The sequence below is a fragment of the Homo sapiens genome, chromosome 1 (genome assembly GCF_000001405.40).
Source record: "Homo sapiens chromosome 1, GRCh38.p14 Primary Assembly".
NCBI classification, from domain to species: Eukaryota; Metazoa; Chordata; class Mammalia; order Primates; family Hominidae; genus Homo; species Homo sapiens.
Genome location: NC_000001.11, coordinates 54,828,572 through 54,853,419, shown reverse-complemented (window position 1 = coordinate 54,853,419; position 24,848 = coordinate 54,828,572). Strand labels below are relative to the sequence as shown.

Sequence of the window (24,848 nt, the reverse complement as noted above, 5' to 3'; positions counted from 1 at the left end):
GTATAGTATGTTGCCTCTAGCTGACAGCCCCAGGGTACTGCTCCAGGGGAATGAGGCCAGCTCTATGGAGAACCAGGAGCCCCAAGCCTATCAACTGGTTCCTTAGGGCCCCTGCAGCTGTGGCAGCCTCTGGGTCAGGAGGTAAGCTGTGAAAGATGGGCAGGGGGTGGGCTTGCAGGACTACTTGCCCTCTTCTCCCTGCACCCCCTCCTCCAGTGAACATGTCACACCCCCCCAGCAGCCCCAGCCAGAAACCTGGGAGTCACCCCACTCCTCCCCACGGAACAGATGATGGGTGTGGGCTTAGCTGGGTCCAGGGGCAACTGCTCCAGATGGAAAGGCCAAAGCTAAGGAGAGAGGGATTCCTGTCTATGAAAACCACGGAGAGGCCCAGGACAGAGGATTGCTCAGAAAACAGCCTGGATAAACTATTGAGTGGAACATGGACAAAGCCAGGAAAAAACAATGCCATATGATTCCTTTCATATAAAATTCCCAAAAACACACATGAATCCATACTGATAGCGCATCAGTAGTTGCCTGGGGATGGCAGAGGGCAACGGATAACTAAGGGGCATGGGGAAAGTTTGGGGCTGATGGTTATAGCCACGATCTGGACTGCAGTGATTGGAGTCCTTGGTTGCATGCATGTGTCAAGCTTATCCAATTGTGTACTTTAAATTATGTCTAGTTTATTGAAAGTCAATAACAGATTAAAGGAAAACAACCCCACTGCTCCATTAGGGAAGGCAGCTGTGCCTCTGGCCAAGCAGAGGGGCAGAAGCCCAGCAGTCTGAGCTCTACTCCTGACTCTACCTCCACTGCTAAGCTACCTAACCCCCAAGCCCCAATTCCCTACCTGCAAAAGGGGGATAAGAATACCTGCACCATCTTCTTCACCAGGTTAACGGGGTTAAACAAGAGAAATCCTCCAAAAGCCTTTTCTGGGCTGCAGAATGAGCAGTTGGGTTTCTCTCACGCCTCGCGTTCCGTGTGCCTCCTGGCGTCCTCACCCACTTCTCTGCCTCTGCAGCTTCCAGATGCTGTATGCCGACTGCTACATGAACCGGGAGGAGTTCTGGGAGATGTTTGATGGCTCCTTGTACCACAAGCTGCGAGAGAAGCTGGGTTGCCAGGACGCCTTCCCCGAGGTGTACGACAAGATCTGCAAGGCCGCCAGGCACTGAGCTGGAGCCCGCCTGGAGAGACAGACACGTGTGAGTGGTCAGGCATCTTCCCTTCACTCAAGCTTGGCTGCTTTCCTAGATCCACACTTTCAAAGAGAAACCCCTCCAGAACTCCCACCCTGACAGCCCAACACCACCTTCCTCCTGGCTTCCAGGGGGCAGCCCAGTGGAATGGAAAGAATGTGGGATTTGGAGTCAGACAAGCCTGAGTCCAGTTCCCCGTTTAGAACTCATTAGCTGTGTGACTCTGGGTGAGTCCCTTAACCCCTCTGAGCCCGGGTCTCTTCATTAGTTGAAAGGGATAGTAATACCTACTTGCAGGTTGTTGTCATCTGAGTTGAGCACTGGTCACATTGAAGGTGCTGGGTAAGTGGTAGCTCTTGTTGCTTCCCGTTCAGCGTCACATCTGCAGTGGAGCCTGAAAAGGCTCCACATTAGGTCACCTGTGCACAGCCATGGCTGGAATGATGAAGGGGATACGCTGGAGTTGCCCTGCCATCGCCTCCATCAGCCAGACGAGGTCCTCACAGGAGAAGGACAGCTCTTCCCCACCCTGGGATCTCAGGAGGGCAGCCACGGAGTGGGGAGGCCCCAGATGCGCTGTGCCAAAGCCAGGTCCGAGGCCAAAGTTCTCCCTGCCATCCTTGGTGCCGTCCTGCCCCTTCCTCCTTCATGCCTGGGCCTGCAGGCCCACCCCAGCCACCACTGAGTCCACTCGGAGTGCCCTGTGTTCCTGGAGAAGGCATTCCAGGGTTGAATCTTGTCCCAGCCTCAGCCTGGGACACCTAGGTGGAGAGAGTGGTCTCCGCTCTGAATTGGATCCAGGGGACCTGGGCTCATTCTTCTTGGCTCACCAACCCTGCAGGCCTCATCTTTCCCAAAACCCACTTTGTCTTGGTGGGAGTGGGTCCGCGCTGCTCTGCAGCAGGGGCTGGGGAGTGGACAGCATCAGGTGGGAAAGTGGAGTCCACCCTCATGTTTCTGTAGGATTCTCACCGTGGGGCTGGAAGAAAAGAGCATCGACTTGATTTCTCCAACCACTCATCCCTCTTTTTCTTTCTTCCACCACTCCCCACCCCAGCTGTAGTTAATTTCAGTGCCTTACAAATCCTAAGCTCAGAGAAAGTTCCATTTCCGTTCCAGAGGGAAGGGAACCTCCCTAGGTCCTTCCCTGGCTTGTTATAACGCAAAGCTTGGTTGTTTATGCAACTCTATCTTAAGAACTGCCCAGCCTCAGCTGAAAACCCGAATCTGAGAAGGAATTGCGTCATGTAAGGGAAGCTGGAATTAAGGGAGCTGAGCCAGTCATGGTTGTGGCGTGTGAGTCAGGAGACCTAGGTTTCAGCCCCTCTCTACTGTCAGCGAGCTGTGCAACGTGGGCAAGTCATTGTCCTCTGAGCTGCAGTTTCCTCATCTGTCACATCGCTACAGACAAGACCTCCCTGGAACCCTTCTGATTGTCTTAGACACTGTGGTTGCAAAACCCACGGAAAGCCTCATTTGTGTGGAAAGTCAGAGGAAAAATGATCCAGTGGACACTTGGGGATTATCTGTCATTCAAGATCCTTCCTTCAACCCCAAGGTCAGCTCCCATCTCATTTCCAGAAAGGCTCATACCTGGCTTGCAGGGAAGCATCTGTCTTGTCATTCCAGGTGCCAGAATCCTCTCAGAGTCATTGAAGGGTGTTCACCCATCCCACCCAAGGCTTGGCACACTGCCAGTGTCTTAGCAGGGTCTTGTGAGGGCTGGGGGCATCCAGGCACTCAGAAGGCAAAGGAACCACCCTACCCATTTGGCCTCTGGAGGGGGCAGAAGAAAGAAATAAACCTCATCCTATATTTTACAAAGCATGTGAATTCTGGCATTAGCTCTCATAGGAGACCCATGTGCTTCCTTGCTCAGTGCAAAACTGATGATTCTACTTGCTGTAGATGAATGGTTAACACGAGCTAGTTAAACAGTGCCATTGTTTTGCCAGTGAAGCCTCCAACCCTAAGCCACTGGGACGGTGGCCAGAGATGCCAGCAGCCTCTGTCGCCCTTAGTCATATAACCAAAATCCAGACCTTATCCACAACCCGGGGCTTGGAAAGGAAGGTATTTTGGAATCACACCCTCCGGTTATGTTGCTCCAGTAAAATCTTGCCTGGAAAGAGGCAGTCTTCTTAGCATGGTGAGCTGAGTTCATGGCTTTTTTTTGTAGCCAGTCCTGTCCCTGGCCATCCATGTGATGGTTTTGGATGGAGTTAAACTTGATGCCAGTGGGCAGTGCATGTGGAAAGTATCAGAGTAAGGCTCTCCCCTCCAGAGCCCTGAGTTTCTTGGCTGCATGAAGGTTTTCTTTAGAATCAGAATTGTAGCCAGTTTCTTTGGCCAGAAGGATGAATACTTGGATATTACTGAAAGGGAGGGGTGGAGATGGGTGTGGCAGTGTATGGTGTGTGATTTTTATTTTCTTCTTTGGTCATGGGGGCCAAGGAGAAAGGCATGAATCTTCCCTGTCAGGCTCTTACAGCCACAGGCACTGTGTCTACTGTCTGGAAGACATGTCCCCATGGCTGTGGGGCCGCTGCTTCTGTTTAAATAAAAGTGGCCTGGAAGCTGGCGTTTGTCGTTTCTTGCTTGGGGGACCAAAATGTGGAGTCAGATCTGGGCTCGGGTGCAGGCTGTGCCATTCCCCAACTCAGTTGCTCTCACTGAACCCATGAGCCCATGGCCGAGGGCTAGAAGAACATGCAGGAACTGACAGGTTTATTTCTATCACTGTCAGAGTGTGATTGGAGTAAGTGTTGAAAGGATCCCTCTGTGTGCAGGGTGGCAAGCAGACCAGTGAGAAGGCCACCACTGCAGTCCAGGTGAGACGATGGTGGCTCTGGTTAGGGTGGAGGCCTGGCTTTGTCACTTGGTTGTGACCAATTAATTTTAGCAAGTTAATCCTGTTGAGACTGTTGTCCTCATCTACAAACTAGTGGACCCACTAGCTGTCCATTAAAATGCATTCCTCCATTCTTTGGACACATAGCTAGACTACCTTTCCCAGCCTTCCTTACAGTCAGTTGTGTCCTTGTGTTAAGAGCTTTCCAGTGGAATGTAAACAGAAGTCATAAAAACCTATATGAGGTCTCCTGGCTCTCCCCTTCACTCAGTGCAGATGACAACCAGGCCATAGGTGGTTGGAGAGTCTTATGTCAGAAGGAACCTGGATTCCTGAGTCACTGCAGGAGAAGCGCTTGTGGCCAGAAGTGCAAGACCAAGCCTGAGAAACATAGTGAGACCCCATCTAAAAATTAGCTAAGTATGGTGGCAAGTATCTGTAGGCCCAGCTACTCTGGAGGCTGAGGCAGGAGGATTGCTTCAGCCCAGAAACTTGAGACTGAAGTGAGCTATGATCGTGCTACTGCACTCCAGCCGGGGTGACACAGAGCAAGACCCTGTCTCAATAAATAAATATAAGGCATTACCTGGGCTGGTGCCTGAGAGCCCAACCCAGAGCTCCTTGGTTTGCTGAGCTTAGGCGCTAGACTGGACTGGGTTTGCTGAGCTTAGGCGCTAGACTGGACAATCTGTATGTTGCTCCTCCCAGTTCCAAATCTGAATCTTAGCAGCAGCTGCCTTACAAACCTCAAGCCATGAACCTGGCATCAAGACCTATGAGAAGAAGCAAGAGGGCCACGTAGGGGCCTTGGCTTGGTTTACCAACCTCCTTACAGGAGGGTGTCAACAATCTGTTCACTACCTGACCTAATGGAAGCTGAAAGTAGAAGAGAATTCACATGCGTATCCTTGGAACTTCTAGTTACCCCACTGGCAGACCTGAGGTCTGATCCCTCTGGGGGAGGGGTGAGAAAGGTGTTTGTGGGAGGGGGTCAGTGGTGTGCTGGAATATGGCTTGTACCAGCTTACAAGGACCATCATGCACACCTCCTTCCACTTCCATGTTCAGTGACATTGGCAGCCTGAAATCACCCACAGGGGGAGCATTTACACCACAGAAATTAGCAGCACTACGAATCAGGGCTTGTTCTGTTGTATTAATCAGTGTTCTCCAGAGAAACAATCAGTAGGAGATACACACACACACACACACACAGGCACACATCCCTTAACGAGGATAAGTTCTGAGAAATGCATCATTAGGTGATTTCATTATTGTGTGAATATCACACAGTGTAGTTACACGAACCTAAATGGTACAGCCTACTACACACTTAGCTATATGGGATAGCTTATTACTCCTAGGCTACAGACCTGTACAACATGGTACAGTACTGAATACTATAAGCAATTATAACCCAATGCTAAGTACTTGTATATCTAAACATAGAAAAGGTACAGTAAAAATAGGGCATTATAATCTTATGGGTCCACCATTGTATATGCAGTCTGTCATTGACCAAAATGTTATGCATCACATGACTGTATAGAAAGGCAAGACACATGCAGAGACAGAGAAACAGAGACTTACAAAGTATTGGTTCATGTGATTATGGAGGCTAAGAAGTCCCAAGAGCTACAGTAGGCAAACTAGATACCCAGGAAAGCCAATGATATAGTTCCAGTTTGAGTCCAAAGGGCTGAGAACCAGGAGAGCCAATGGTGTAAGTTCCAGTCCAAAAGCTGGTAGGCTCAAGACCCAAGAAGAGCCCATTTTTCAGTTCAAGTCTGAAGGCAGGAAAACCCTGATGTCCCAGCTTAAGCACTCAGGCAGGAGGAGTTTCCTCTCATTCAGTCCTTTTGTTCTGTTCGTGTCTTCAGTTGATTGAATGAGACCCACCTGCTTTAGGAAGGGCAACCTGCTTTGCTCAGTCTGATTCAATGTTAATCTCATCCAGAAACACCCTCCCAGACACACCCAAAGTAATATTTGGTCACATGTCTGGGCACCCCGTAGCGCTGTGAAATTGACACAGAATTAACTATCACAGGAGGGCTTTGTTTTGTTTTGAGAGACAAACATTTACCAGCATACCACTTAACAGAGACCTCTCTTAATAAGCCCTCCAAATCCAAGCTTAGCAGGAAAGGTGGCTCCTGCACCCTGGCTCTGGCCTCAGTACATTCGCCTCTTAGGCTTCTGAACCTCAGGCATCTCTATGATCATCCCCACTCCCTTGTTAATCATTCTCATTATTGGTGAACCCCCATTCCCTGGCTAATGCCGCCGCAGGTCCAGGAAGAGGGAGTGGATCAACTGAACCTGGGAACAGGTGTAAACTGCTCCTGAGAAGGAGGAGCTCCAAGGGTCAAGTTGGCGAAGGTGAAACTGCCTTCAGGGCCAAAGGACTATGGCAGGGCCGGAGTGGGACCTGGGCTTGCTCAGGCCCAGGACAGGCATCAAGCAGCCCACAGCAATGAGGATGGGAGGACCTGAGCTTTTAACAAAGGGAGCTTCCCAGAGCTGGCCTGGCTGGTGTGCCCAGGGATGTTGTGAACTCAAGGTAAAAAGCCAAAGACCGCACGGTACAACGTTCATGATGGTCAGAACCGTCACCCTTAGGTATTGATAAGAACCTAACACAGCAGATGAAGTCCCATTCTATTAATGTTTACTAAAGCAACCACGCCGTGCAACCTATGTAAACTTGTTCCTCCTGTGGGCCTCAGTTTCTCCCTGTAAAGTGAGCAGCTATGCCAGCCATGCTTCACCTTGCCAAGGCATTGCAGATGACCAGCTGCCCATGCCCACTAGCTGATCTTCAGAACCTGGTTGCAGCAGGACTGCCTATGTGTGATGCCCACTCATTGTTACGTTACCTGTGGTCCATGTTGCAAGGTGGTGCTGAAGGCATAGTAAGAACCTGGATGTTAAGTCTGGTGGCATGGCTTGTAAAAGGCTATTTTGGCCTGCTCAGGGCTTCCCACAACCTGGCAGCATCTCACACTGGAGTGGGAGAGATCACTACCCTCCTGAGCAACCAGGGAGGTGCTAGAACCTGCTGTTGCTTTTTTAAGATGTATGTGCTGGAGGGTTAAACCCAGTCACCTGCAGGACCACTTCAAGAGATGGAACTAGAATTTGGTGGTTATTAAATATTTATTTATTCATTTCATTTTTGGCTGTGGAGCTTTTTCCCCCAAACAAAAGCGTTTAGGGAAAGTCCAGTATATAACAAACGTGGAGTTACTTTGAGTCAAGCTGGGTGCGGCCAGGAGTCCAGCCCTCATGGTCAGGGCCTGTGCCCTCCTTCTCCAGGGATTGCTGGAGGCCGCAGCAGAGTCCAGTTAACAACCTGCAGAACTCCATGTCCTCTTATGGCCCTGCCCTGGCAGGAGGGCAAGGGTCACAACAAGCCAGATTTTAGCTCAACATCCAAAGGACCCTTTTACAATCATAGCTGCCCTGCACTGGGAAGGGCTGTCTTGAGGGTGTGCAAGAAGAGCCTGGACAGACAGATGGAGTTATTGTCGCAGAGCAGAGCAGTGGTCACCAAATGAGGTTCCCAAGCCCAGGGTGTAACAGGATGATCCATCGGGATGCCTGAGAAAATGTTAGTGTTTGTCTTGGTTTGGGTTTCCCTAGAAGCCAACCCTAAGACAAAGATTTGAATGCAAGCAGTTTATTTGGGAGGTGAAGAAAACACCAGCAGGGGAGTGGAGAAGGGATGACAGCCAATAATGGGTTCATTCTCAAGCAGGTTACCACTGGGGGCCACTACAGTGTAACTGCACTGGGAAAACTGGAAACCAGTGTAAAACATGCGTTTCAAAGGTACATCCCACAAGGGCTGAGGGAGCTGGTATTTATACACCAACTTCCCTCAGTGAGGGTAGCTCCAGAGGGATGTGGAGTTCCTGGCACTTCTAGCCCTCCATAGGCAGCAAAGCCGGCCCTGGCAGCCAGAGAGCCTTTTGCTCCATTATAGATGAATGTCCCTCCCCAGCACACATTATTTTTGTAACACACATGAACTCATTCTTATCTCATGGCAAAATATTTAAAAGAATTGCCTAATTTAAAGTTGTGGCCAGGGGCCAGACACGGTGGCTCACACCTGTAATCCCAGCACTTTGGGAGGCTGAGGCTGGTAGATCACTTGAGGCCAGGAGTTTGAGACCAGCCAAAACCCCATCTCTACTAAAAATACAAACATAGCCGGTCGTGGTGGCTCATGCCTGTAGTCCCAGCTACTTGTGGGGCTGAGGCATGAGAATCGCTAGAACCCAGGAGGCAGAGGTTGCAGTAAACTGAGATCCCACCACTACACTCCAGCCTGGGCGACAGAGCAAGACTTTGTCTCAAAAAAAAAAAAAAAAAAAAAAACAAAAAAAAAAACTTGTGGCCAGGCTCGGTGATTTATGCCTATAATCCCAGCAATTTAGGAGGCCAAGGTGGGAAGACAGCTTGAGCCCAGGAGTTCCAGACCAAGCTGGGCAACATAGCAAGACCCTATCTCTGAAAAAACAAAAACATTATCCAGGCGTGGTGGTGCAGCCTATAGTCCCAGCTACTTGACAGGCTGAGAGGTGTGAGCATCACTTGAGCCCAGGAGGTCGAGGCTGTAGTTAGCCATGATGACACCACTGCACTCCAGCCTGGGCTGGACACAGCAAGACCCTGCCTCAATAAATAAATAAATGAAGTTGTTACACAGGTTTCTCTTATAAAAAGGCAAGCATCACAAATTTGCTGACCTTCTCTCTCTTTTTTTTTTTTTTTTTTTTTTTTTTGTTTTTTTGAGACAGAGTCTTGCTCTGTCGCCCAGGCTGGAGTGCAGTGGCTTGATCTCTGCTCACTGCAACCTCTACTTCCCAGGTTTAAGCAATTCTCCTACCTCAGCCTCCCGAGTAGCTGGGATTACAAGTGCCTTCTACCACGCCTGGCTAATTTTTTTTTCGTATTTTTAGTAGAGACGGGGTTTCACCATGTTGGCCAGGCTGGTCTCGAACTCCTGACCTCAGGTAATCTGCCCACCTTGGCCTCCCAAAGTGCTGGGATTATAGGCATGAGCCACTGCACCTGGCCTTGCTGACCTTCTCTACAGTGACAGTGACTGTCTATAATATGATAGCTGATAGAGATATTTGAACAAATATACTTATTTTGTAAGGTAAACAGTCTCTTTAAAAAGTTTTATTGCATACATTTTAACTCGTTTTATTACTTTATTTTTATTTGTAATTAATTCTACAGAAACATCACAATGGTAGTAGAGCAATCCCCCTCACTTGCCTTCCCCTGATGTTAACATCTTTTTTTTTTTGAGACGGAGTCTCGCTGTGTCACCCAGGCTGGAGTGCAATGGCACGATCTCAGCTCACTGCAACCTCTGCCTCCCGGGTTCTAAGCGATTCTCCTGCCTCAGCCTCCCGGGTAGCTGGGACTATAGGTGCCCATCACCACGCCCAGCTAATTTTTTTGTATTTTTAGTAGAGACAGGGTTTCACCATGTTGGCCAGGCTGACCTCGAACTCCTGACCTCAGGTGATCTGCCCGCTTTGGCCTCCCAAAGTGCTGGGATTACGGGCCTGAGCTACCACACCCGGCCTGATGTTAACATCTTCTACATGAACTAAGATAGTTGTACCATTTTACACTTCCACCAGCAGTATATGAGAGTTCCACATTCTCACCAACACTTGGTATGGTCAGTCTTTTCAATTTTAGCCATCCTAATAGGTGGGTAGTTGTATCTCATTGTGGTTTTAATTTGCATTTCCTTAATGCCTAATGACATTGAGTTTATTTTCATGTGCTTATTTGCCATCCATATATCTTCTTGGTAAAGCGTCTGTTACATCTTTTATACATTTTTTATTTTGTTGTTTCTTATTGAGATATATATGAACTCACATATATATTCTGGATGTAAGTCCTTTATTACAGCAGTCCCCAGCCTTTTTGGCACCAGGAACCGGTTTCATGGAAGACCGTTCTTCCACAGACCAGGGTAGGGCGGGGTGGCAGGGGAGGATGGTTTCAGGATGAAACTGTTCCACCTCAGATCATCAGGCATTAGTTATATTCTCATAAGGAGCATGCAACCTAGATCCCTCACATGTGCAGTTCACAATAGGGTTCGGCTCCTGTGAGAATCGAATGCCGCCGCTGATCTGACAGGAGGCGGAGCTCACCCACTGCTCACCTCCTGCCTCGAGGCCTGGTTCCTAACAATCCCTGGGGAAGGAGGGCACAGGGGCTGGCCACGAGGGCTGGTCTCCCGGCCTCACCCAGCTTGATTCAAAGTGGCTACATGTTTGTTATATTGGACTTTCCCTAAAAGCTTTTGTTTGGAGAAAAAGAAAAAAAAGAACTCCTCAGCCCCCAAAAATAAATGAATAAATGTTTCATAACCACCCAATTCCAGTTCAGTTTCTAGAAGTGGTCCTACGGGTGACTGGGTTGAACACTCCAGCACATAAATCTTAAAAAAGTAACATCAGGTTCTAGCACCTCCCTGGTTGCTCAGGAGGGTAGCAGTTTTTCCCCACTCTTAACGTCCAGGTTCTTAGTATGCCTTCAGCACCCCCTTGCAACATGGACCACAAGTAACATGACAACGAGTGGGTGTCAAACATAGGCAGTCCTGCGGCAACCAGGTTCTGAGGATCACCTAGTGGGCATGGGCACCTGGTCATGTGCAATGCGTTGGCAAGGTGAATAAAGATGGCTTTACTTCTTCAAAAACATTTGTTTTGACACAGGAGAATAACTGCTTTTTGTAAGACACTCGCGCATGGAAGAAAGTGTTTCAAGTATTTTTTATCATTATGTGTGCTTTGTGGACGAAACTGTGGTATCCCAGTCTCCTCTAGGGACAACCTGCTCCCCCATTCTCACTGACATGAAACAGTGAGGGAAGGGTGCCCACAAGGGCTGACTCAGGGGTGAAACCGATGTTCCCCATGGCTGGACATGGCCTGAGGTCAGCAGTTTCCTCATCAGTGAGGCCCTGCTAAGCTTCCAGAAGCATCCTGGGATGGCAATGAGGTGTTCCTGCAGAGTCCTAGAATTGCCGTGTAATACATGCTACACTCTCCCACCACTTTCTGAACTTTAATAAACAAGGAGCCAAGCACTCTGGCTTTAGAATAGAAAGGGTCCCACAAGTGTCAACTACGTCCCATCCCTTCAGTCCATCTGCTCTCTGGCCCCCATGTTCATGTCACTGGCTGAGTTGAGTTCTCAGGATAATTGATCTCCTGCAACAAAAGATACCTGTCCCCAGCTGTCCCGGAAGACACTGTGACCTTCAGGTATGCAGCTCTGGCAAAGGTGATCCCCATACATCTCTCCCCTCTCCCAAGCCCATGTGTCCTTTCTCTAAGACACCCCACTCCCATGCCCATGCTGTCACCCCCAGATTTGTCTTCAGGCCTTTGGGCTCTCTGGTCACTGCAGGCTGTCCTTCGCATGTGGCTTTAAGGAGTAGGATCTGAATTGTAATCCACAGTTGGAGGGCACTTTCCCTTAGTAAATGGTGTGATCCTTTCCCTTTAAAAAGACAGAAAAAATTAAAAAAGGAAGTGATCCCTTGGAAGGGAGTGAGCTCCTCATCCCTGGAGGGACACCCATAGGGAATGAACAGGTACCTGTTGGTTCTGCTTCACAGGAGATCCTACATTGGTGAGAGGCCAAAATTGATGACTTCTAGGCCTTTCCAACAAAACAGCCTGATTCTAAGGATGGGATTACAGCAATTCACACTCAGTTCAGCTCATTAAAGCACCCAACTTGGCTTGTAAGAACTTCAGGTATAAAATCATAGTCCCTGGAAAATTATCTAACCCAACCCTGAGAGGAAGACCAAGGACCAGAGAGAGGAGGGAACTTACCTGAGGTCACCTGAAGGCCAGCATCAGGGCCAGAATGTAAGCCCTGACCTCAGTCCCACTTTCCCTCCACTGCTCCAATTCTTTCCCATGAGTGGAAACCCTGAGGACTCAACCTCCCATCCCGTGAGCCCTTTGGAAGATGGCACTTCCATAAGAACCCCTTGCTGTGTGTGTCAAACAGCATCTGCCAGCCCTTACGTTACACACTTTATGTATCTGTTTGTTGTCTGTCCTCCCCAACAAGATGTGAACTCCATGAACGCAGGACTTGCACTTCTTCATTGGTATTTCCCCTATGCCTAGATCATTACCCATGCTTAACAAATATTTGTCAAAGGAGGGAGGACTCACTAGGGTAAGAGAGGTCTTTCCCACCATCCAGTGGGTCTCCACACCTCCTGTCTCTCCATTCCTCACCATGCCCACGGCCCCTGGCCCAGCCCCATGCCTCATTTCTCATTTCTACTATTGAGGCAGCCTCCCTGTCTCTATCCCCGCAACAGTCCATAATGCCCTAAGTATGTTTATTAAACACAAGAATTACTTCCCATTAAAATCCTTCTGGATATCTGGGAAAAAATATTTGCAAAACACGTATCTGATAAAGGACTTATGCTTAGAATATCTAAGGAACTAAGCAGCCCATTTGTTTAAAATGTGCAAAAGATTTGAAAACACTTCACCAAAAGAAGACATCAGAGGATGCCTATGAAAAGATCCTCAACATCTTGTCACTGGAGAAATGCAAATTCAAACCATAATGAAATATACTATTAGAATGGCTTAAATTAGAAAAGAAAAACCCTGACAATACCAAGTGCTGACAAGGATGCCAAACCTTTAGACCCCTCATACGTTGCTGGTGGGAGTGCAAAATGGACCAGCCATTTCAAGATAGTTCAGCAGCTTCTTACAAAGTTATACACACACCCACCAAATGACCTAGAAATCCTACTCCTAGATATTTACCAGAGAGAAATAAAAACATACGTCTACATGAAGACCTGTATTTAACTGTTTATAGCAGCTTTATTAAAAATTCCCCAAACTGTAAACAATCCAAATGTCCCTCAACTTAGGAATGGATAAACAAACTGTGTCACAACCATACAACGCAATCCAACTCAGCATTGAAAAGGAACAAACTGTGATACACACAACAACAGCATGGCTGAATCTCAAGACCACCGTGTAACATGAAAGAAAAAGATACAAAATTCTACATACAGATGATTCCACTTATATGACATTCTGGAAAAGGCAAAACTCCAGGGATGGTAGAATTGCCAGGGTTGGCAGTGGGAGGAGTAGACTGACTACAGATAGCACAAGGGGGATGGGAATATTCTATATCTTGCCTGAGGTTATATGTATGACAACTACATGCATTTGTCAAAACTCATAGAATTGGGCTGGGCGTGGTGGCTCATGCCTGTAGTCCCAGCACTCTGGGAGGCTGAGGTGGGTGGATTGCTTGAGCCCAGGTGCTCAAGATCAGCCTGGGCAGAATAGCAAAAGCATGTCTCTACAAGAAATTTAAAAATTAGCTGGGTGTAGTAGTGCACACCTGTAGTCCCAGTACTTGGGAGCCTGAGGTGGGAGGATTGCTCGAGCCCAGAAGGTCAAGGCTGCCATAAGCCATGTTCATGCCACTGTGCTCTAGCTTGGGTGACAGAGTGTTGACACTATCTCAAAAAACAACAACAAAACCTCATAGAATTGTATACCTAAAGAGAATGAATTTTACTGCATGTGAGTTATGCTATAATAAGTTCAACTTTAGGCTGGGCATGGTGGCTCATGCCTATAATCCTAGCACTTTGGGAGGCCAAGGCAGGTGGATCACCTGAGGTCAAGAGTTTGAGACCAGCCTGGCCAACATGGCGAAACCCTGTCTCTACTACAAATACAAAAATTAGTCGGGCGTGGTGGCAGGTGCCTGTAATCCCAGCTACTCAGGAGGCTGAGACAAGAGAATCGCTTGAACCCAGGAGGCAGAGGTTAGAGTGAGCCGAGATCGCGCCATTGCACTCCAGCCTGAGCAACAGAGCAAAATAAAACTGTCTCGAAAAATAAATAAATAAATAAATTCAACTTTAAAAAAATTCTGTGGCTTCTCAAATACAGAATAAAGTCCAAGCAGCTTAGCTATAGCATTCCAGCCCTCTAAGGACTGACCGAACCACCTCTCCTGCCTTATTCTCCACTATTCCCCTCTACACACCCCACACATCACTCAAAATGGGCCATTTAGTATTGCCCAGATATGTCCTGAAGTTTTTGCTTCCTTTCCTTCGCTCATGCTCTTCCCTCTGTCCTAATTTTTTTTCTCCTCCCTGGAAGAAGAAAACCCTTGAGGAAAGAACACAGCTTGGAGCCAGATGGACCAGAGATCCAATCCTATTTTGCGATTGTACTAGACAAAGAGCAAAAATGGCCCAGGCCTCCATAGCTCCTTGTATTGGTGGCCTTTCCAATGTGACTTTGCAGCCTCTCCCATCAAGAGGTAGAGTCTACTCCCCCCAATCCCTGCCCCACTCGAATCTGGGCTGGCCATGGAACTTGCTTTGGCCAACAGAATGTGGTAGAAATAATGGTGTGGCATTCTGAGGCTGGGCTGCAAAAGGCCTTGCACACTTCCTCTCTCAAACCCCAGCCTCCTCCATAGGAGCAAGCCTGGGCTACACCACTGAAGGCCGGAGTCTGTGTGGAAGAGTCTAGCTGTTCCATCCAAGACCATCCCAGACCAGCCAGCCCCCAGCCAACCCATAGACTCATGAACAATAACAAATGGCTATTGTTTTAAGCCACTGAGTTTCTGGGTGGTTTGTTATGTAGCAATAGCTAACTGCTACAGTGAGTAACTCGCTGTGGCCCTGGGAAAGTTACTCAGTTTCCTCACCTATATAATAAAAGCAATTATTACATACCTCACAGAGCTTTGTGATGCCCATGAGAGATGATTTTTTTTTTTAATTGAGATGGAGTCTCATTCTATTGCCTAGGCTGGAGTGCAGTGGCGGGATCTCAGCTCACTGCAACCTCCACCGCTGGATTCAAGTGATTCTCCTGCCTCAGCCTCCCAAGTAGTTGGGACTACAGGCACCCACCACCGCACCCGGCTAATTTTTGTATTTTTAGTAAAGACGTGCTTTCACCATGTTGGCCAGGATGGTCTCGAATTCCTCACCTCAGGTGATCTGCCTGCCTCAGCCTCCCAAAGTGCTGGGATTACAGGCATGAACTACTATGCCCAGATGAAAGATGTTTATACAGAGCTGAGTACAGTGCCTGGCACACAGTCAACCTTTGATTAACAGTTGTTACCCCTTTCCAAGCCCAACTCTTATACAGCTTTTGAGAACCAGATCAAATGCCACTTCTTCCAAGCAGCCCTCCCTGCTTGGAAGGCTCCAAATTCAATATAATATTTGCCTCCTCTGAACTCCCATAGTATTTCCTCTCTCCCACTCCAATACACTCTATCCTCAACTATAAGCAATTTGGAAAAACAGCCATAGCCTTAAACATAGGTATCCAGTACAGATATAACTCAATGCCAGAAAAAGATGAAATGATCTGTATAGATTAGGGACAGAAAATCTGTTCTCCTGGCTCCCAGGCCTCTGCTCCTTCCAACCATTACACACAGCCCCCTTCAAGGGTGATTCCAGCAGACTTCCTTGCACGTTGTTGGCACTCAGTAAATGTATCCTGAATTGAATCAGCTAAATTGGGGGTGGCATTTTCCCCCTTGGGGGCAATGAACACATGCAGGAGGGTTTTGGGGTCGTCCCAAAGACTGGGGGCCACTACTCCCCAACCAGTGGGCAGGCACCTGGAATGCCAACTGTCCCACCACTGGGCAGGAGAGTCTGGCACCATGAAGAAGAGGCGCCTCACCCCTCCCACATGCCAGCAGTACCCTGCTGTGCAGTGCTGGGCTATGGGGAAGGAGTTGGATGGCAAGTCTTACACTAGACCCTGGCCTGTGAGACAGGCTTCATTGTGCCCATTCTACAGCTAAGAAAAGAGAGTTGTGCTTAGTAGCTCAGGGCCACACAGCTAAGAGATGCCAAAGTGGAGACTTTAACCTGCATCTTCTCCCGATGTTCACCAACTTGTTGGAGCCTCAAACGGGCCATGTCAGGGTGAAAAGTCCATGCTGATCTGAAGGCCATCAAGCAGACAACACAGAGTGGAGTCCAGGCTACCTATGGGGACATGGGCTATAAATGCTGACGTCATTTGGGGAACAAAATATGCAACAGGAAGGTCACATGACTTGTCAATAGCACATGGCTTATAAACAACAGAACCACAGTCCCCTACCTCAATCTAGGACTCATTTTTTAAGGGTCTACTGTAATATTTCATAACCCCCTGAAGGTTTCCTACCTGAGCAACTGGTAATTCAGATATGAGAAGGCAAAGGTGAGTCCCATCCTAACATTACATCTTCCAAGTGGCATTTTCCAAAGATTTCCTCCCATGTCAACTGCACTTTGAAGAATGCTTACTGGCTGCTTGATTTGCAGGTATTCATCAGCAGAGACCAGACTCCTCCATCAAGACTCGGCTGATCCCACCCCACCTGATTCACCTGGCTTCGTTCTTCCATATCCCCTGCCACACCCCACCCTCCCGCTGCTCGGCCATCCCTGATCAGGCCAGGCTCGTTTACCCCTCACGGCCAGGCTAAGGATATTCCAGCCCAGAATATCCTCCATCTCTCCAGGCCACCTTTCCAGGTAGACATGGGCATTTCTGCCCCACACGCTTATGGCACCTGGCTGAGCCCTCCTTCATGTACCTGATGCTAAATCAATCCTTCCTGTCTGCCCCGTTTGCCTGAGACCTTCTGTGTTCTGACCCCTAGCAAATGTCCACTAAATTCAATTAAATCATCAACTTTTTTCTCCCCCACCCCCTACCCCCATCCAAGGCCAACGTTTCTCCCTGTGCTCAGAGTGATCACCCCTCCAGCCCAAGCAAAGAGCATGTTCCACCACCTCACAAGAGAATCTCCCCCTCCTTCCCTGCCCATCAGCCAGAAATATGCTCAAGTCTCTACCCCATCCACCCCCACCAGAAATACAGAGAGGAATAAGGAAAGGGGGACACAGGGAAGGCAGGCAGGCAGGCAGGCAGGCAGGCAGGCAGGCAGGCAGGCAGGCGGGCAGGTAGGCAGGCGGGAGGGCGAAGGGGGAGGGAGGGAGAGAGGGAAGGAAGGAGAAATGAAAAAGTAGGGCCTTCTCTCCCGACTGCCTTCCCTTGGAGTTAAGCCCAGTTTCCCCTGGTGCCACACAGTCTCAACGGCAACCACCTGACTTCTGTGTCCCAGAGTAAACATGCAGAGGGGTTTGAGGGGAGAAGGAGAGGACTCCACATGCTGAGCTTCCTGAGTCCCTCTTTCCTACCCAAACTTCCAAATCTCACCAAAACAGCATGCACAAAGGGTAAAAGGAGAGTGATCAAATAAGGTCAGGTGGGGTAAGGGCAGGAAGATGGGTCATGGTGAAGGCCAACTATGCCTCAGCCTTCCTGGGTTCAAAGAGCCTTCCCTTCTGCTCTCATCTTCCAGAAAGCTTCGGGGGAAAGAGTGGGCAAAGTGTTCTGGACAGAGAGAGAGAAGTCCTGGGCCCGACCTGCCTTCATCCCTCTTCTCAGGCTGCCCTGTAACTCTGGGGAGGTGGGTGAGTGCCCTCCCCATGAAGCTGGAGCCACTCTGGACCAGACTGCTGTCTGATTCTCTTCTGCAGTGTCCTAGGAACCAGCAAGGTGCCTGGCACACAGTAGGTGCACAATCAATTTTTGAGAAATATATGCATCAATGCCGTTTACTAACAATGACTTTGGAAAATCACTTTTTCTCTTCAAACTTCAATACTCTCAACTGAAAAGCACTGAGCATAATCCCTACCCTTTAAAGCTATTGCATACAATAAGTACATACAAAATCACTTTGTCTGGCCAGGCACAGTGGCTCATGCCTGTAATCCCAGGACTTTGGGAGGCCGAGGCGGGCAGATCACTTGAGGCCAGGAGTTTGAGAACAGCCTGGCAACATGGTGAAACCTCCTGTACAAACATTACAAAAATTAGCTAGGCGTGGTGGCACACACCTGTAGTCCCAGCTACTTGGAAGCCTGAGGTGAGAGGATTGCTTGAGCCCAGGAGGTCAAGGCTGCAGTGAGCCAACATTGCACCACTGCACTCCACCCTGGGTGACAGAGCAAGACTCTGTCTCAAAAAAACAAAAAACAAACAAACAAACCATCACTTTGTCCATTTTAAAGATATTCCAAGAATATAATAATTTATTACTGTCGTTACAGAGGATAGACATTTATGATTTCCATTTCAGATTTCTGGACAAAGAATATGCCTTTTAGCTTCAAATACTAAAAATGCAGTATGCGTGCTGGAGCATTTAGGAGAAGGTATACTCATGGCTGCCATTTCCTTTGAACTTTATCAAAAATGAAAGATAATTAACAGATGGATAGACAGATAGGTAGAAAGATAGGTCATAAAGCAGGAAGAGTAAACCATTAGTGGTACAGGTTGAGCTTCCCTTATCTGAAAATCTAAAATCCAAATGCTCCAAAATCTAAAACTTTTTGAGCACCGACATGATGCCACAAGTGGAAAATGCCACACCTCACTTCATGTGATGGGTGGCAGTCAAAACTTTGCTAATGCACAAAATTATTTAAAATATTGTAGAAAATTACCTTTAGGCTGTGTGTATACGGCATGTATGAAACATAAATGAATTTCACGTTTAGACTTGGGTCCCATCCCTAAGATACCTCATTATATATATCCACATATTCCAAAGTCTGAAAAAAAAATCCCAAATCCAAGACAATTCTAATCTTAAGCATTTCAGACAAGAGAGACTCAACCTGTATAATCTGAGTAGTGGGTATATAGGTATACACTGTAAAATTCTTTCAACTTTGCTATATGTTTGAAATTTTTGTAATAAAATACCAGGGAAAGAAACTTAAAAGGAAAAATAAACTTCTGCCAAATCAGACAAGAAGTTTCTCATGAGTTCCTTTCATGGAGTTATCAGATCCTGGCCCATTTTATTAATTAATGTACTGACTCATCATTTAACAAATATTCACTGAGTTCCTTCTATGCCTGCCAGCAAGACACCAGAGCTGGAAAGTAGAAAAGTTCTGTATGAACTTTTGAAGCTGCCTGGAAAAAAATCAGGGAAGACTCCCTATTTAAGCAGCGCTATAGATGGGTGAATAGGAGTTTTCCAAACAAAAACTGTGGGGAAGATGTTTCAAGAACAAATCATAGGCCAGGCATGGTGGCTTACCCCAGTAATCCCAGCACTTTGGGAGGCTGAGGCAGGCAGATCACTTGAGGTCAGGAGTTTGAGACCAGCCTGGCCAACATGGTGAAACCCCATCTTTACCAAAAATACAAAAATTAGCCGGCTGTGGTGATGCACGCCTGTGATCCCAGCTCCTTTGGAGGCTGAAGCAGGAGAATTGCTTGAACCTGGGAGGTGGAGGTTGCAATGAGCCATTGCATCCCAGCCTGGGCAACAAGTGCGTGACTCCATCTCAAGAAATAAAAATTAAAAAAAAAAGAACAAATCATAGGGTGGCCAATGTCACAATGTGGGGAAGACAAAGGGAGTGGGTCAGAGCCTGGCCTGGAGCAGAGTTCTGATATCCACATGGCCAGAGGTAGACCAGACGGAGTAAAAAAGACCTTGCTGGAAGATCCAGAAGATCTAGAAAGTTGGCTAGATGAAAAACCTGGCCCACTCATCAGTCAACCACATTTATGAAGCACCTACTGTATACACAGCTCTACAGAATGGAAAACAAAAGGCTGCCTTTCCCACACATGAGTTAAATCCCAGGCTTCCAGGCTGGAAGCCCAGAACCCTACAGTTTGCATGAAGAAGCAGGGAAGAAGGCAGCTTAGGGATGAGGGGTGAGAAAGATTAGCTGTAGCCGCACATTCCAGAAGGAGACTTTACAACTCTCACACATGCACTCCCCCGCCTGGATCAAAGGCAGCGCACTGGTTGAGAACGTGTTGTGTTTTGCCACCAAGGACCTCCTCCCAACCTGGCCAAGGAGGTGAGGCTGAAGCACAGGGTCAGAGTCGGAGCCATGTGTTTCTGGTCCCCGCACTGTCTCTGTTCAGCTGCGGGACTCAGCAATCCCCTTCACCCCATCATTTATTCACACATGAGATGAGGATGACAGGGCAGACAGTCACCCTTCGCATTGCTTTAGCACCTCTGTCATCTGCAGATGTCTACATTTTACACCCGCAATCAGACTGGCTCCTGCCTGACCACCACTCTAGAGAAGAAGGCATTAACATGAAAGAGCTGAGGATCCAATGGGAGCTCCTCTGTCCATTCAGTCTCCATTCATTTTTATTAATTTTTTTTTTTGAGACAAGGTTTCACAGGCTGGAGTGTGGTGGCACAACCATGGCTCACCGCAGCCTCAACCTCCTAGGCTCAAGCAATCCTCCTACCTCAGCCTCCCAAGTAGCTGGGATTACAGGTGCACATCACCACACCCAGCTAATTTTTAAATTTTCTGTAGAGACAGGTCTCCCTATGTTGCCCAGGCTAGTCTCTAACGCCTGACCTCAAGTGATCCTCCTGCCTCGGCCTCCCAAAGTTCTGGGACTATAGGTGTAAGCCACTGCATCCAGCCCATTTTTATTGATTCTTTACTCCAGCTTTATTTTTATTTATTTTGATTTTTTTTGTTTAAACTTACAGAGTTGAATGATTGCTTCTTTTGGTTTCAATCTTTTTTGTTTGATATTAAAACAACTAAAGCCATGAATTTTCCTCTAATGGGTGCTTTGACCATATTACACAGGTTTTGATCTATAGTTTTCATTGTAATTAATGTCTAAATAGTCTGTAACTCTAAACTTGATTTTCCCTTAGACCCAAGAGCTATTTAGAAGAGTGCTTTCCACTTTCCAAGTACTTGGTTTTGGGGTTATCCTTTTGTGTTAACTTCTTGTTTTGTTGTATTATGTTTACAAAAAGTAACCTAAAAATTCCTATGTAGGGTGTTAACTTGTTAACTAACATTTTAAATGAGATTTTCTTAGAGATCAATTTTTATAAATGTTCTATAAGTATCTGAAAATAATGTGGAATAAAATATATCTATTCAAATCCTCCAAATAATTATTTATATATCCTTAGCTGTCAAATTTTCAGATAGGTCTATTAAGAATTCTCATTATTATTATGGGATTTTGTTACTGTTATTTTGGGTGTGTAAAAGTTCATAGTTAGGCTGGGCATGGTGGTTCATGCCTGTAATTCCAACACTTTGGAAGGCCAATGTTGGTGGATCACTTGAGCCCAGGAGTTTGAGACCAGCCTGGGCAACATGGTGAAACCCCATCTACAAAAAATACAACAATTAGTTGGGCGTGGTGGCACATGCCTGTAGTCCCAGCTACTTGGAAGGCTGAGGTGGGAGGATTGCTCGAGGCCGGGAGGTCAAGGCTGCAGCGAGCTGTGATTGTGCCACTGCACTCCAGCCTCTAGCCTAACCCTGTGTCAAAAAAAAAGTTCATGGTTATTATAATTTCTTCATGGATTTTTTTATTGTTTACCATGATTAAATACTCATCTTTGTTCCACTTACCATTTTTGCCTTGAATTCTATTTTGCTTAGTGTTTGTATTACTACTCTTCCTTTTCGTTGTTGGTTACATTTATCTGATATATCATAGCCAGATGTATTTTTACATGCATGTCTTCCCCTTTCTTTTTTTTTGAGATGGAGTTTCGCTGTTGTCACCCAGGCTGGAGTGCAATGGCGCAATCTTGGCTCACTGCACCCTCCGCCTCCCGGATTCAAGTGATTCTCCTGCCTCAGCATCCTGAGTAGCTGGGATTACAGGTGTGTGCCACCACACCTGGCTAATTTTTGCATTTTTAGTAGAGACGGGGTTTCACCATTTTGGCCAGGCTGGTCTCAAACTCCTGACCTCAGGTGATCCACCTGCCTCAGCCTCCCAAAGTGCTGCAATTGCAGGAATGAGCCATTGTGTCCATGTCTTCCCCTTTCTTAAGCTCTCCATGTTAATTCATTTTTCATTTGACTGGAGTATATCCTTCAGTAATATTTTCAGAAAAATATGCATTTCATATATATCCCAATATTTGTGCATCTCTCATTTGCTTTGCAGATGAATGACTGGTTGACTACATAGAGGACTCTACAAAGTCCCAATTCTTTTCCTTGAGAATTATATAAACAGTGTTTTCTATCATTTATGTTTCAGAAGAGAAGTATGAAATATGCCTGATTGTCTTTGATTTAGATTGCAGGTTCAGTGTCATTTTAGATATAATACTAGCAAGATTTTTATTTTACCTTTGAAACCCAGAAATTTCACCACACTTTTCATGGATTGAATGGGTATATTAACCTCTCTCCCTCCTGAAACCTCACTAAAACAAAGTAAAGGAATAAAAATGTTAAGGCATGTACCCACAAGGGCAAAAAGAACAGGAGAAGCAGCAGGAAGAAAAAATATTTTGGAAGTTGAAAAGCAGATGGAAGAATGGTGACTAACCTGGTAGACCTAAGAAAGCTAAACTCCAAATCAGTAAATGGTAAAGCTAAGAATCCCCCGACTCCAAAAGACTAAGGAATTGGCAGCACTAGGTACCGCTGGAAGTGGGAATGAAGATGAAACCAAAAACAGGGATTGGTCTATATAATATCAGTTTGATAATCTGTATAATATCAGTTTCTCTCCCCCACTGTCTGCAGCCAGATGAGTGCCCTTCATTTAGCCTGGCAGAAGATTGGAGATTTATTCTCTGGAGATAGATTCTCTATTCAGGATGGCACCAGGCATAGCTGAAATCATGAGTACCATATTTAAAATAGGGAATGGGGCCAGGTGCAGTGGCTCATGCCTGTAATCCCAGCACTTTGAGAGTTCAAGGTGGGCAGATCACCTGAGATCAGGAGTTCGAGACCAGCCTGACCAACATGGAGAAACCTTGTCTCTACTAAAAATACAAAATTAGCCGAGTGTGGTGGCACATGCCTGTAACCCCAGCTACTCAGGAGGCTGAGGCAGGAGAATCACTTGAGCCCAGGAGGCGAAGGTTGTGGTGAGCTGAGATCGCGCCATTGCACTCCATCCTGGGCAACAAAAGCAAAACTCTGTCTCAATAAATAAATAAATAAATAAATAGAAAGAAAGAAAAGAGGGAATTAAATGGAAGTTTAATCACTAAATATTGAGAACTGTAGCCTTTTCCCTTCCACTTAGATCCTAGAGCTTGGACAGCCAAGCTTACAACCCCCAGAGAGGAAAGTTCTAACAGTAGTAACATTGGGAGTTCACCCAGTGAAAACACCCAGCTTGATCATCGTGTGGTGGAGTCCATAATCAACAAGTGCCCCAGAGCCTTCAGAAGGATTTAGAGCTGGACAGGTATGCAGAGCCAAGCATCACCAGACATTCGAGGAAAAACCTCTGATACAGAAGACTGAGGCCAAAATGAACATACAGAAAAATGAGATTTGAAAAAAAAATGGGGACAATGTCAAGCAAATAGTCTTAATATCTTCAAAAAGAATATATTAATCTTTAATCTTTTGAAGATATTTGTCTTAATATCTTCGAAAGATGAGAAAGCACTGCCTTCATGAAACCAGAGCATATTGTTATCAAAGGAACATTCAGAAGACAAAAAATAACTCTTAAAACTTAAAAAACTTAAAAAATATGAATGCAAAAATGAAATTTTCAGTGAGGGAATGGCAGACTTTTTCTGGTCACCTGAAAACAATCAGCAGCTCAGAGGCACTCAGGACAGAACCAAGCACAGGGCAGGTTTTTCAAATGAATCAGTCAGTGAAAGAGTGCATAAAGAAATCCTTCACACCTGTGATCGATCTTCTGTGCCTCCTGGCATCATAATTCTGAGCCAGGAGCCCAAGTAGGGCAAAGGCTTCATGGACAATGCTGAAGTTGAGCCTCTGAGAGAATCATGCCCCAGCCTAACAGTCTGACACCCACAGGGACCTGCTGGTTGGCTTCAGTTTGGCAGCATTCATAAGACTTAGTTAGGCCTCACCAGGTCCCCCAGGGTATAAATTCTTCTGTTTTTACAGATGGGAAAACTAAGGTCTGGAAGACAAAGGGTAACTCTTGGTTGGAGATGGGTCTAAAAGGGGAACTCGTATTCTGTGTAGTTTATCTCAAGAGCTCTTGTCCTCTATTTGTACTATTTTTCTGATTATAAAACAATATATGCTTATTTTGAAAAACTCAAACATTTCAACAAGGTAGAATATGAAAGAATCTGTTAACCCTGCCCTCCGCATGTAATCATGGCCAACAGTGTGGTGCTTAGTCCTCCATATTATGTTTTCTACGCATATGTCAATGCATTTTAAAGTGGGATCATTATTCTTCTATCTTAAAATGTATTTATATGTGTCTTACTCTTTCAGATGAAGCTTATAATCAATTTATCCAGTTGCCCCCTCTGGCCCCATCAACCTCTCTAGGATTTGACTTAAGATGTGTACATCACTGGGAAGATTTAATATTTTTCCAATATCGTGTCTTTTCATCCAGTTATTCAGGCATTCTTTAACATCCATTAATAAAGATTTCTATTTTTCTTCATTTATGCCTTAAATACACCATATTAAGTTTATCCCAAATGTATTTTATCATTTGTGTTGCTAATAAGAATGGGGTCTTAGTAAAAAGAGCCCTCGAAAATAAAATAAATAAAAAAAAAAGAAAGAAAAGAATGGGATCTTGGCTGGGTGCAGTGGCTCACCTGTAATCCCAACACTCTGGGAGGCCAAGGCAGGAGGA

The 24,848-nt window shown here is 46.5% G+C and overlaps 2 protein-coding genes and 1 long non-coding RNA gene across 6 annotated transcripts in view, besides 3 other annotated features; 2 read left to right on the top strand and 1 right to left on the bottom strand.

Annotated features, from left to right (window-relative positions):
• Positions 1-3,793, top strand: part of DHCR24 (24-dehydrocholesterol reductase) — a 37,569-nt gene extending 33,776 nt beyond the window's left edge. The window contains exon 9 of the mRNA NM_014762.4: positions 1,034-3,793. Coding sequence (NP_055577.1) covers positions 1,034-1,187 — 154 coding nt within the window. The 3' untranslated portion in view covers positions 1,188-3,793. The remainder of the gene's footprint in view (positions 1-1,033) is intronic.
• Positions 1,363-1,862: an enhancer, noted in NCBI's record as "H3K4me1 hESC enhancer chr1:55317231-55317730 (GRCh37/hg19 assembly coordinates)". NCBI's record gives its function as "activates a minimal SCP1, AML or CMV promoter by ChIP-STARR-seq in primed H9 embryonic stem cells {active_cell/tissue: H9 hESC(primed)}" and the evidence as "EXISTENCE:reporter gene assay evidence [ECO:0000049][PMID:30033119]".
• Positions 1,863-2,364: an enhancer, noted in NCBI's record as "H3K4me1 hESC enhancer chr1:55316729-55317230 (GRCh37/hg19 assembly coordinates)". NCBI's record gives its function as "activates a minimal SCP1, AML or CMV promoter by ChIP-STARR-seq in primed H9 embryonic stem cells {active_cell/tissue: H9 hESC(primed)}" and the evidence as "EXISTENCE:reporter gene assay evidence [ECO:0000049][PMID:30033119]".
• Positions 5,798-5,998: a silencer, noted in NCBI's record as "peak246 fragment used in MPRA reporter construct". NCBI's record gives its function as "represses an SCP1 promoter by STARR-seq MPRAs in K562 erythroleukemia cells {active_cell/tissue: K562}" and the evidence as "EXISTENCE:reporter gene assay evidence [ECO:0000049][PMID:32103011]".
• The window catches only part of CIMAP2 (ciliary microtubule associated protein 2), a 36,190-nt gene continuing 22,509 nt past the window's right edge, over positions 11,168-24,848 (bottom strand). Inside the window, exons 10-11 of one of the 4 annotated variants that reach the window (XR_001737006.1) lie at positions 11,483-11,619; positions 11,168-11,327 (exon numbers count right to left, since the gene is read on the bottom strand). Coding sequence is in view for 3 of the 4 variants with exons in the window: in NM_001110533.2 (NP_001104003.1) it covers positions 11,547-11,619 (73 nt within the window). In the remaining variant the exon portion in view is untranslated. Of the gene's footprint in view, positions 11,620-11,717; positions 11,805-15,884; positions 16,175-24,848 lie in introns of those variants that run through there. The other 3 variants (NM_152607.3, NM_001110533.2, XM_017000481.2) reach the window with 3 other exon arrangements.
• Positions 16,158-19,005, top strand: LOC124904183 (uncharacterized). The gene is made up of 2 exons (XR_007066100.1): positions 16,158-16,711; positions 17,545-19,005. It is a non-coding gene; the product is annotated as an uncharacterized LOC124904183 (long non-coding RNA).